This window comes from Homo sapiens, chromosome 17 (genome assembly GCF_000001405.40).
Source record: "Homo sapiens chromosome 17, GRCh38.p14 Primary Assembly".
Taxonomy (NCBI): domain Eukaryota; kingdom Metazoa; phylum Chordata; class Mammalia; order Primates; family Hominidae; genus Homo; species Homo sapiens.
In genome coordinates this window covers 78472287-78484645 of record NC_000017.11, presented here as the reverse complement: position 1 = coordinate 78484645, position 12359 = coordinate 78472287, and the positions used below count along the sequence as shown (strand labels likewise).

At 51.3% G+C, this 12359-nt stretch overlaps 1 protein-coding gene across 5 annotated transcripts in view, besides 5 other annotated features; it reads left to right on the top strand.

The window, feature by feature from the left end:
- Positions 1-12359, top strand: part of DNAH17 (dynein axonemal heavy chain 17) — a 153700-nt gene that overhangs the window by 92751 nt on the left and 48590 nt on the right. For all 5 annotated transcript variants that reach the window (XM_024451013.2, NM_173628.4, XM_011525416.3 and 2 more), the window contains 6 exons: positions 3860-3962; positions 5014-5161; positions 5530-5621; positions 7913-8074; positions 8813-8977; positions 9177-9368. In XM_024451013.2, coding sequence (XP_024306781.1) covers positions 3860-3962; positions 5014-5161; positions 5530-5621; positions 7913-8074; positions 8813-8977; positions 9177-9368 — 862 coding nt within the window. The remainder of the gene's footprint in view (positions 1-3859; positions 3963-5013; positions 5162-5529; positions 5622-7912; positions 8075-8812; positions 8978-9176; positions 9369-12359) is intronic.
- Positions 4-53: an enhancer, noted in NCBI's record as "active region_12900". NCBI's record gives its function as "activates an Ori minimal core promoter by ATAC-STARR-seq in GM12878 lymphoblastoid cells {active_cell/tissue: GM12878}" and the evidence as "EXISTENCE:reporter gene assay evidence [ECO:0000049][PMID:35858748]".
- Positions 84-223: an enhancer, noted in NCBI's record as "active region_12899". NCBI's record gives its function as "activates an Ori minimal core promoter by ATAC-STARR-seq in GM12878 lymphoblastoid cells {active_cell/tissue: GM12878}" and the evidence as "EXISTENCE:reporter gene assay evidence [ECO:0000049][PMID:35858748]".
- Positions 9044-9103: an enhancer, noted in NCBI's record as "active region_12898". NCBI's record gives its function as "activates an Ori minimal core promoter by ATAC-STARR-seq in GM12878 lymphoblastoid cells {active_cell/tissue: GM12878}" and the evidence as "EXISTENCE:reporter gene assay evidence [ECO:0000049][PMID:35858748]".
- Positions 9654-9703: an enhancer, noted in NCBI's record as "active region_12897". NCBI's record gives its function as "activates an Ori minimal core promoter by ATAC-STARR-seq in GM12878 lymphoblastoid cells {active_cell/tissue: GM12878}" and the evidence as "EXISTENCE:reporter gene assay evidence [ECO:0000049][PMID:35858748]".
- Positions 11846-11935: an enhancer, noted in NCBI's record as "active region_12896". NCBI's record gives its function as "activates an Ori minimal core promoter by ATAC-STARR-seq in GM12878 lymphoblastoid cells {active_cell/tissue: GM12878}" and the evidence as "EXISTENCE:reporter gene assay evidence [ECO:0000049][PMID:35858748]".

Below are 12359 nucleotides of genomic sequence, written 5' to 3'. Positions count from 1 at the left end.
TTCTATCAGTTTCGTCCATCACCCATTTCACAAACATGCAGCAGTGGCCTAGAGCCCCCGCGGAGGGGGGGATCCTCCTTCCCCCCTTCCACCGAGGTGTCTGTCCCGCCGGGAGAGGAAGAAGCACATTACCCGGTAAAGGAAGAGCCCTGAGGAAAACCCCCAGTGCAGTCACAGAGGAGCCTCCCAGCTGGGAGCCCCAGCAGAGAGATGCCCCTGGGGAGATGGTGCACAGCTGGAAGCTGGCAGCAGTGTCCTGCTGGCTGTGGGACCTTAGAGGGAGAGCATTCTGGGTGGAGAGATTGCCACGTGTAAATGCCCTGCCACACGTGAAGAAGCCCAGGAAGGCCGGTGTGGCAAGGATGTGAGAGCCAGAGGCAGAGGGTGCCCAGGGCAGCTGCAGCCAGAATCCCAGGGCCTCGGGACAGAGTGCAGATTTTCTCCTAACGGCACCGAGAAACCAAAGGTGGCACGTTTAGGTTTGCAGTTTGGAAAGATGAGAACATTCAGTTCAGTTGTCTTTTTTTTTTTTTTTTTTTTTTTTTTTTTTGAGGAGAAATCTCGCTCTGTCTCTCAGGCTGGAGTGCAATGGCTCGATCTTGGCTTACTGCAACCTCCGCCTCCTGGGTTCAAGGAATTCTCCTTCCTCAGCCTCCTGAGTAGCTGGTAATACAGGTGCCCACCACCACGCCGGCTAATTTTTGTACTTTTAGTAGAGAAGGGGTTTCGCCATGTTGGCCAGGCTGTTCTCGAACTCCTGACCTCAGGTGATCCGCCCGCCTTGGCCTCACAAAGTGCTGGGATTAGAGGTGTGAGCCACCGTGCCCAGCCATAGTTGTCTCTTAAAATAAGCAAGTAGCTCAGGCCAAAAGAGCCTAGAAACTAGTCTGCTCGTTCATGAAGCCTGGCCTCATGCCGAGAAAGGCAGGCATGGGGGGTTAGGTAGTCTACTTGAGGTCATGGTCCTAATGAGTGGCGGAGCTGGGTTATTATTATTATTATTATTATTATTTCCAAGACAGAGTTTCGCTCTTGCTGCCCAGGCTGGAGTCCAATGGCGTGATCTTGGCTCACTGCAACCTCTGCCTCCTGGGTTCCAGCGATTCTCCTGCCTCAGTCTCCCAAGTAGCTGAAATTATAGGTGCCTGCCACCATGCCCACCTAATTTTTGTATTTTTAGTAGAAACGGGGCTTAACTATATTGGCCAGGCAGGTCTCTAACTCCTGACCTCAGGTGATCTGCCCGCCTCGGGCTCCCAAAGTGCTGGGACTACAGGCGTGAGCCACCACGCTCAGCCAGAACTGGATTTTGAGTTCAGATATGTCTGACTCCATCACTTGCCTTTTCCTCACTAAACGACACTCCCAGAGCTCACGACTATAGGAAGCCTACTCTGGGCTGCAGGCTGTGATGTGGGGACGGAGGCATCAGAGGTGGCTCCCTGGGGGAGGTGACAAAGCTGCCACTCTGAGGAGGGAGCCTGGAGAGAGTTTGACATCATTTGAGGAGAACCTAACGTGGTGTGGGGTGGGAGATTTGAGGGTACCCAGACAGGAGAGGAGGACAGGTGCATGCATGAGAGCCCACCCGTTCCTCTCTGCAGGCAGGTCTACTGTGAGGGCTGTGGCGGCTCAGCCTCGGTTTCCCTGCAACTCGCGAGGCCCCTTCCAAGGGTTGCACACGGTCATGTGCCCTTGTAAAATTTGTTTAAGATTTTTGCTTTCTTTTCCTCAAGGAGGAGCCTCCACATTCTTAAGCTTCAGCCCTAGGTCCACATCTGCCCTGGAGTTTACCCTGAAGGATCTTCAGGAGGGGTGGCAGAGTGAGATTTGAGTTTTCAAAAGATCCTTCTAGAATATCAGATTAACATGGCCCCACGACAACAGGGAAGGATGGACTGTTTAGTGGATGTGTCAGGAAAATGCTCACCTGTGGAAGAAAAAGGCAGACAAGGGTGGGGCCCGTGGGAAGGATGGGCCCGCAGGGAAAGGGTGAGCTGTGAGGTGGGCAGAAGCAAACAGGGACAACATCTGTGACCTGAGAAGTGTGCACAGGAGAGGACTGCGCAGGCAAAAGTTTCAGAGGCACACACAGAAGGGCAAAAAATTGATGGCTGTGATTTAAATGAAAGTTAAGGAATTTTGCTCAGTGAGAGACACCATGGACATATATAATGGAGAAATAAAAGAATGGAAGAAAACATTTGCAATGTATAAAATTGACAGTGGATTAATATCTGAAATATACAAGGAATTACTAGAAACTAACAGACGTCAACTTCCAACACACAAAGTGCATAATGGGGGAAAAAAACAAAAGTGCTGGGCGCAGTGGCTCAGGCCTGTAATCTCAACACTTTAGGAGGTGGAGGCAGGAGGATCACTTGAACCCAGGTCATATAGTGAGACCCTGTCTCTACAAAAACTTAGCCGGGCATGGTAGTGTGAGGCTGAGGTTGGGAGGACAGCTTGAGCCCAGGAGATAGAGGCTGCCGTGAGCTGTGTTCACCACTGCACTCCAGCCGGGGTGAGAGAGCAAGACCCTGTCTCGGGGGAAAAAAAAAAAAAAAAAAAAGTAACTAGTGTAGTGTGACATCAAGGAAATTATTCAGCTTATTTTATTTTATTTTTGAAATGAAATCTTGCTCTGTTGCCCAGGCTGGAGTGCAATAGCATGATCTTGGCTCACTGCAGCCTCCACCTCCCAGGTTCAAGCAATTCTCCTGCCTCAGCCTCCCAAGTAGCTGGGATTACAGGTGCCTGCCACCATGCCTGGCTAATTTTTGTATTTTTAGTAGAGATGGGGTTTCACTATGCTAGCCAGGCTGATCTTGATCTCCTGACCTCAAGTGATCTGCCCATCTCAGCCTCCCAAAGTGCTAGGATTACAGGCATGAGCCACTGTGCCTGGCCTATTCAGCTTATTTAATAATAGCAGCCATTAATAATTATCCTGATAACAGGGATGGTGAATATTTATTGCATACTTACTGTATGTCAGGTACTCTTCCCAGTGTTTTTTCATATGTTAGCTCATTTTATCCTCCTCATGACCCATTGCACAGGTGAGAATATTAAGGCACAGAGATGTTAACCAACTTCCCAGAGCCCCAGCACTGCTTAGGGGAAGAGCTGGAACATAAACCCCAGCCTGCTCTCTGAGCCACTCTTTTGCCTCTTGTTTCAAAATTTCTCTGGAGAGCATGAAGTCACAGCAGCTGCTTCACATATTATCAGTATCTGTGGAGGGTTTTTAAGACCACATGGAGTAATCCCAGCATTTGGGAGGCTGAGGCGGGCGGATCACAAGGTCAGGAGATCAAGACCATCCTGGCTAACACGGTGAAACCCAGTCTCTACTAAAAGTACAAAAAAATTAGCCAGGCATGGTGGCGGGCACCTGTAGTCTCAGCTACTCGGGAGGCTGAGGCAGGAGAATGGGGCGAACCCAGGAGGCGGAGGTTGCAGTGAGCCAAGATCATGCCACTGCACTCCGGCCTGAGTGACTGAGTGAGACTCCATCTCAAAAAAAAAAAAAGCCGGGGGATGGGGGGCGGGCGTGGTGGCTCACACTTGTAATCTCAGCACTTTGGGAGGCTGAGGCGGGCGCATCACGAGGTTAGGAGATCGAGACCATCCTGGCTAACACGGCGAAACCCCGTCTCAACTAAAAATGCAAAAAATTAGGCAAAGCTTGCAGTGAGCCGAGATTGTGCCACTGCACTCCAGCCTGGGCAACAGAGCGAGACTCTGTCTCAAAAAAATAATAATAAGGAGGGCATTCTTGGGAGCACAGTGGGGGCAGGGGATGGTTCCTCCAGGCCAGGGGCACAACATGAATGCTGGTTTCCCCCCTCAGGTATGACAGACATAAGCTGACGTTAAAAGATATCCATAATTGTCAGTACGTGGCCTGCATGAACCCCACTTCCGGATCCTTCACCATCGACTCCAGGCTTCAGGTAAGCAGAAACCATACTCATCCCCGTCACCTGCCATGAGTCTGAGGCTTGCTTCTGGCAAATGAGAGGAAAAGCTTTGGTTTAGGGTGTTAGGGCTGCAGGCCGACATTTTCTGGAGAACTCCTTAACTTTGCAGAATGTGTCAGAAAATTCCAGGGCATGGAGAGGATGAGCAGCTAGCCAGCCTTCCCTGTGACCCGGTCAACTGGCAGAGTTAGCAAATAAAATTGCAGTTAAATCCAAACTCCAGATAAATAAATATGTTTTTAGTCTAAGTATGTTACATACAATATTTGGGACATACCGTTCTTTTTTTGTTGTTTTGTTTTTGTTTTGAGGCTGAGTCTCACTCTGTCACCCAGGCTGGAGTGCAATGGTGTGATCTGAGCTCACTGCAACCTCCGCTTCCCGGGTTTAAGCAATTCTCCTGCCTCAGCCTCCCAAGCAGCTGAGGCTACAGGTGTGCGCCACCACACCTGGCTAATTTTTGTATTTTTAGTAGGGACGGGGTTTCACCATATTGGCCAGGCTGGTCTCGAACTTCTGACCTCAAGTGATCTGCCCTCCTCGGCCTCCCAAAGTGCTGGGATTACAGGTGGGAGTCACCGTGCCCGGCCTGGGACATACTTTTTTTAAAAAAAAAAAAAAAAAAAAAAAAAAAAAAAAAAAAGTACTTGTTGTTTATCTGAAATTCAGATTTAGCAGGGCATCCTGTATTTTATCTGTAGCCCTTACCCAGACAGACTTTGCCTCTAAGTTATCTAAACACACAGAGATCTGGATTTAAACCCAGGCCTGTACTCTGAGCCCATCTCTTGCCTTTGCCAAAATTCTTCTTGAGAGCATGAAGTAAATTTGTCTGTTTCATGTGTAATGATACTTAATGCAGTTTTACCACATGCAAGGCACAAGGAGGGTAACTGCCCATTCTGACAATGCCCAAAAGACCTTAGAACATGAGGACAGGGGCCACTCTCCCGCGAAGGTGGCCCTGGCCCCAGGCAGGTCCCCAAGAGCTGGCTGACTGGAGTGTTTGGTTGTTTTGGGGTAGCGCCATTTCTGCGTGTTTGCTGTGAGCTTCCCCGGCCAGGAGGCCCTCACCACCATCTACAACACAATCCTGACGCAGCACCTGGCCTTCCGCTCGGTCTCCATGGCTATCCAGAGGATAAGCAGCCAGCTGGTGGCCGCGGCCCTGGGTAAGCTGGCTGGCCTCATCCCCTCTCCCATCGGTAAAACCTATGGCTCTGTGGGCTGATGGTTCTTCACATTTTCCCTTGATAAATATTTTATTTATAATTCTAAATCAATATCTTAAAAACGATGCTATGTTTCGACAGGAGAAATTGTGAAATACAATTGCTTCATGGGGAGGTAGGGGCTAGGAAATTCTATACACAAATGATTTAAGGAGAACAGCAAATTCCCTCCCACTTCAAAGAGCTGTGCAGATTTCTTACTCCAGTTGTCACCATTTCGTAGTCCATTGGCTTTAGAAACTTGAGGCTTGCACTTCCTGGGGCCATCAAGAGTACATGAGAATTGACACGTCCTTTTCCTCTAACAGCTTTGCATCAGAAAATCACGGCAACATTTCTTCCCACGGCCATTAAGTTTCATTATGTCTTCAACCTCAGGGACCTCTCCAATATTTTCCAGGTACTGCTCTTGTAGCTTTATGTCATGCCTGCCTTACGGTCCAGTGCCTGATCCACAGGTGCTTTCCTCATCACAGCTCTCAGGGAGGTGTGGACTGATGATGGTGGTGATGGTGGTAATGATAATGATGATAATAATGGTGGTGATGGTAATGGTGGTGGTGACAGTGGTAGTGATGGTGGTAATGGTGATGGTCGTGATGATGGTGATGTGATGATGGTGGTAGTGATGGTTATGATGATAGTGATGGTGATGTGATGATGATAGTGATGGTGGTGATGGTGATGATGGTGGTGATGATGGCAATAGTGGTGGTGATGGTAATGATGGTAATAATTGTGATGATGGTGGTAGTGATGGTAGTGATGGTGGTGATGGTAATGGTGATAATGATTATAATAATGGGGGTGATGACGGTGGTGGTGACAGTGGTAGTGATGGTGGTAATGGTGATGGTCATGATGATGGTGATTGTCATGATGGTGGTGATGATAGTGATGGTGGTGGTGAGGGTGATGGTGGTGATAATGATGGTGATAGTGATGGTGGTGATGATGGCAATAGTGATGGTGATGGTAATGTTGGTAATGATGGTGGTGATGATGGTGATAGTGGTAGTGATGGTGGTGCTGATGATAATAGTGGTGGCAGTGATGGTGGTGGTGATGGTGATGTGGGTGATGTGATGGTGATAATGGTGGTGGTGGTGATGTGATTGTGGTGATGGTGGTGGAGATGATAATGGTGATGGTGGTGGAGATGATAATGGTGATGGTGGTGATGATGGTGGTGATGGTGATGTGGTGATGATGGTGGTGGTGGTGATATGATGGTGATAATGGTGATGATGGTGATGTTATGGTGGTAATGGTGATGATGGTGATGTGATGATGCCACGTGGTGGTGATGGTGGAGATGATGATGATGGTGGTGGTGATGGTGATGATGGTGGTGGTGATGGTGGAGATGATAATGGTAATGATGGTGGTGTGATGGTGGTGGTGATGGTGATGATGGTGATGATGGTGGTGGTGATGGTGGTGATGATGATGGTGGTGGTGATGGTGGAGATGATAATGGTGATGGTGGTGATGATGGTGGTGATGGTGATGTGGTAATGATGATGGTGGTGATGATAGCGATGGTGGTGGTGATGGTAATAATATTTCCTCTCATTTACTGACTGCTTACTCTGAGTCAGAGATTGGGTTTGGCCCCTTACATTCCCATTTTCTCCTTCTCCAACAACACATAAGTTTGGTGCTTATATCCCCATTTTACTGAGCAGGAGTTTGTGGCTGAGGGAGGCTAAGTTATGCCCACCTCCTCCCACGTAAAGTATCAGCCCAGCCGGGTGCAGTGGTTCATGCCTGTAATCCCAGCACTTTGGGAGGCCAAGGCGGGCAGATCACGAGGTCAGGAGTTCGAGACCAGCCTGGCCAACATGGTGAAACCCTGTGTCTACTAAAAATACAAAAATTAGCTGGGCATGGTGGAGTGTGCCTCTGTAGTCCCAGCTACTCGGGAGGCTGATGTGAGAATCACTTGAACCCAGGAGGCAGAGGTTGCAGTAAGCTGAGATCGTGCCACTGCACTCCAGCCTGGGCAACAGAGTGAGACTACATATCAAAAAGTATCAATAAAAAAAAAAATAAAGTATCAGCCCAAATGCCATGCTCTCACAGAGGCCACTCCTCAGCCCTCACACTCTGTCTTACTGCCCTGGGTTTGTCATTCAGAGCATACACCATAGTGTGCAATTACCTTATTTCTTTGTGTACCTGGCCACCTCCCCCGCTAGCATGTCAACTCCACAGCGTCAGGTTCTGTTGCATCATCGCTGTGCCTGGGAAATTCCAGGCCCTCAATAAGCTCTTGTCGAGCTTGCCTAGAGTCACTTGCTTAGTAAATGGCCAAGCCAGGACTGGACCAGATAGGCTTGCTGTGGTACCCAAGCTTGTGACCTGCCCTATGGCATCGGTCACCTGCTTTCCTTTGCAATTAGCCTCCCTTGTCCCTCCTCCACCATTCACTCTTCTGGAGGATGAGGCCCCAACCCTGTCCTATGAGGAAAACTCCACATCTCTCAGGACACACACACACACTGGCATCCGGGATTTTTGGGACCTCCGTGATGAGTGGCTTCCCTGGCCCCAAGTGAATGCTGTGCCAACAGCTGAACAGGTCCCCTCGCCCCGGGGGAGGGGGCTGCTCCTCAGGGTCATCTGTGTCCAGCTCTGGGCTCGCCTTCGTAACAGCTGACGGTGCTGATCATCCTGTGTTTGGGGCAGGGACTCTTATTTTCCACAGCAGAAGTTCTGAAAACCCCACTGGACCTCGTCCGCCTTTGGCTACATGAGACTGAACGAGTGTATGGTGACAAAATGGTTGACGAAAAAGACCAGGAAACATTGCATAGAGTCACCATGGCCTCCACCAAGAAGTTCTTTGATGTAAGTCAAGCTGCCCAGTCCCTCTGCCGAGCCCAGAATGGCTCCAGGAGGGTGGAGTGTCGGCGGCCAATGAGAACTGCAGCCCTCTCAGAAGGGCCCTTTGTTGGGGGTGGGAAGATCCGTGTTAGGTTCCACGCGATCATTCCAGCAAGTGGCTGTGGATCCGAGGGTTCCACGCGATAACTCCGGCACGTGGCTGTGGGTCCGAGGGTTCCACGCGATAACTCCGGCACGTGGCTGTGGGTCCGAGGGTTCCACGTGATAATTCCGGCACTTGGCTGTGGGTCCGAGGGTTCCACGCGATAACTCTGGCACGTGGCTGTGGGTCCGAGGGTTCCACGCGATAACTCCGGCACGTGGCTGTGGGTCTGAGTGAGGAGGAATTGAGTGCTCAGTAGATCAGGGTGTGATCACCTCCCTCTGTCCACTTGGGGTGGAGAAAGGCCCTGCTTGGCTCTGTGTGCCTCGCTGGTGTGTCCCGTGTGTTCTTGGTGGAATCATTTCTTTGGACTATGAATTCATTTCTGATACAGTGGGGATCAGACCCTCCCACTCTAGGAAATTTTGCCCCAGTGGTTTGCTGGGCCCACGGCAGCAGGTTTGGGCCCCTGGAGACTTGGCCTGGGACCCCGTGGTGACCTCCTAGGCCACCTTGGCAAAGTACTGAATTGCTGTTAACTATCTGTGTGGTCATGGTGGCAAAAACCGGAAGTATCGTCTTTTTTTTTCTTTTTCTAGGATCTTGGTGATGAACTCTTATTTGCCAAGCCAAATATCTTCTGCCACTTTGCTCAAGGGATTGGCGATCCCAAATATGTTCCTGTAACCGACATGGCTCCTCTGAACAAGCTCCTCGTGGACGTCCTGGACAGCTACAATGAAGTTAATGCAGTCATGAATTTGGTGAGCAGGCTGGAGCTGATAGCAAGGGCACGGGACCTGGACCGGGTCACCCTCTCCGGTTGCATTATCGACATCCGAGTGGCATTGTGTGGGGCTGCGTGGCACACAGTGCACACCTCAGCATGTGCAGAGTCCGTGCTGGTGACAGAGGTGATTCCAGGTGCTACAAGATGTTGTGGGATCTCTCCGGTTTCTGCAGGTGCTGTTTGAGGACGCCGTGGCTCACATCTGCAGGATTAATCGCATCCTGGAGTCTCCCCGGGGGAATGCCCTGCTGGTGGGGGTGGGCGGCAGTGGCAAACAGAGCCTCTCCCGCCTGGCAGCGTACATCAGCGGGCTTGACGTGTTTCAGATCACCCTCAAGAAGGGCTACGGGATCCCCGACCTCAAGGTGAGAGCTTACTGTTCAATAGGCTGCCTTTCAGGGTAGGGTCAGGGAGTAAAGAAAAACTTCACTCCCTTTTCCAAAATGAAGCCAGCGAGTACAGGGAATCCGAGCATCACCAATAGTCCTTATCCAAAGGGTCTTTATCTTAGAAAGCAGAGGCCAGAAAACCTTCCAGCCAGCGTGCGTGCCCGTGTGACTGAGGTGAAGAGTGTGAAACCTTCCAGCCCGTGTGACTGAGGTGAAGGGTCTGAAACCTTCCAGCCAGTGTGCATGTCCATGTGACTGAGGTGAAGCGTGTGAAACCTTCCAGCCCATGTGACTGAGGTGAAGGGTCTGAAACCTTTCGGCCCGTGTGACTGAGGTGAAGCGTGTGAAACCTCCCGGCCCATGTGACTGAGGTGAAGGGTGTGAAATCTTCCGGCCCGCATGACTGAGGTGAAGAGAGTGAAACCTTCCGGCCAGTGTGTGTGCCCGGGTGACTGAGGTGAAGAGTGTGAAACCCTCCAGCCCGCGTGACTGAGGTAAAGGGTGTGAAATCTGGCCAGTGTGACTGAGGTGAAGGGTGTGAAACCTTCCAGCCAGTGTGCGTGTCCGTGTGACTGAGGTGAAGAGTGTGTCTGTCAACTACTCGATGGACACAAGTCCACAGAATCAACCCAGATCACAGAGGCAGAGAGGTTGGATCCCTGCCCTTGGTCACTGAGTGTTCCAAATTGTTACCTATTCTCTCCAGACTACAGAATTCAGAGCCATGACTGGGTGTCTAACTGCATGCCTGAGATGCTGAATGGCTGCTTTTGGAATGAATGAAATAAACATTAGACTAAACATAAGGTCTCCCATGCCCAACACACACTGCTGAGGGTTTTTATTGATTTCTTGTTCCTGAAAATCTGCTCTCCCAGGCAACTGCGTGCCATTAGTTCAGAAGGAATCATCGTGCTTGAGATTAGACCTGAAATCGATTGGGCCGTCCTACACGGCCATGCCTTCTCTGTGTGCTGGGGCCGCTGTTGTGGGGCCAGGACGATGCCAGACCCAAGGGGGAACCTAAGGGGACCCTCCCGCAGTACGTGGCCCTCAGACAGTCGCTGGGCTGGTGGCTTTAGCAGGCAGACCTGGAGCCAGTGATGCTGGGAGCAGTGGGAGGTGTCTGCAGGCAGAGACCCTGGAGGGGCAGTGCAGGCTGTGCCAGGGACGGCCAACCTCTGGGAGAGCCTCCAGTTTCTGGCTGGCTGTTCTCTGCCTTCCCAGCAGATTCTACTCCATGTATAAAGGGGCCGGCCTGCTCTTTTTTGAACTCCTCAGATGGGCACTCCTGAACACAGCCCTGTCCTCTGGACCCATGAGCGGTAGTGTGTCATGGGTTCTCAGCGCATCTGATGGAGTTAGTTCACATTGGTATCTGCGGCCACTCAAGTGTCATTTGAACCTGGAGCCGTATGGTTTTACTGAGCTTTCTCCATTGAAGTCTCTAGTCTATTAACTAAATCACGTTGGTTTACGTTCATGACGGCATCGTTTCCTTGCTCTGCGTCCCTGCGGGGATTTTCTCCCTGATCCTTCCTGTTGGGGCTGATTGTGGGTGCTCAGCCTCAGCCTCAGCCTCAGCGGTACTATTTTATTCATCAGCTGCTGTGGCTCTGTGATCTGGGCTGTGGAATTTCACTGTCCCTGCACCCATCACAAATCAGCTTTGCTATCACTGTCATTTCTTTTTTTTTTTTTTTTTTTTTTGAGACAGAGTCTCACTCTGTCGCCCAGGCTGGAGTGCAGTGGCGCGATCTCAGCTCACTGCAAGCTCCGCTTCCCGGGTTCACACCATTCTCCTGCCTCAGCCTCCTGAGTAGCTGGGACTACACGCGCCCGCCACCACGCCCGTCTAATTTTTTGTATTTTTAGTAGAGACGGGGTTTCACCGTGTTAGCCTGGATGGTCTCAATCTCCTGACCTCGTGATCTGCCCGCCTCAGCCTCCCAGAGTGCTGGGATTACAGGCGTGAGCCACTGCGCCCGGCCATCACTGTCATTTCTTAAGCCGCTTCTGTGGATTCAGAACTAAGGGCAGAGGTAAACAGGGCTATAAGTTCCTGAATTGTATTGGGGGAGCTAGACTCCTGAGCCATTCGACATGATTATCGTTCTAATGGTGCTGCCATAGTAATAGGCTCACCCCTATGGGGGTAACATATATGTTTGTGATTATGTAATATTATAAAGTAGGTCCCGGAAGCTGTGGCACCTGCTGGAGGCTAGGGGTGCACAGGAAAGGGGTGGAGGGTGGACCCTGGAGGACAGTGTGCCGTGTGAAAAGCCCTGGGCTTGGTCCCAAGAAAACGAGACTACATCAAGATGTCTGATCAGGGGATAGAGCGGGCAGGATGTGGTAGTGTTCTAGGACACAGGAAGGATAGTTTGAAAGCACAGAAACTGCTGAAGGGTGACCTGGGTGGAGCTGGGGCACAAGCTCTGTGACCCCACAAAGGCTGAAAGTGGGCAGGTGCGACGAGAAGGGAGAACGGAGGGGGAGGGGAAACCAGGGCCAGCGAGGGCTGTGCCTGCCGAGACAGCGTGCGTGACCTCGGGGACTCGGCTGGGGTCCAGGATCCGAAACCTTCAGGTGCTACCCCAGCTCCCCTCCCCACACCCCACACACAGCCCCCGGGGCCAGGCGGTGGGGAGTTTTTATTTCTGTGAAACCTTCACCCCAGCCTGAGTCAGCAGCCAGAGCTGGGCTGCCCCATGAAGAAAGCCTGTCAGCAGAATGAGGGGCCGTGGTCTCAGCGGCTCAGGTCCCCGCCTCCCCGCCAGCTTCCTGCAAATGAGAGGGAAGGGGTGAGAAGCAGCCATCGGGTGGGGTGGGGGCTTGGCCTCATGTTATTCTCAGGGAGGAGGCCTTGCTGCGTGTCTCGCACCCGCCACTCCCAAATCCTAACCCTAATCCTCGCACCCCCATTCCCTAACCCTAACCCTCGCACCCCCACTCCCTAACCCT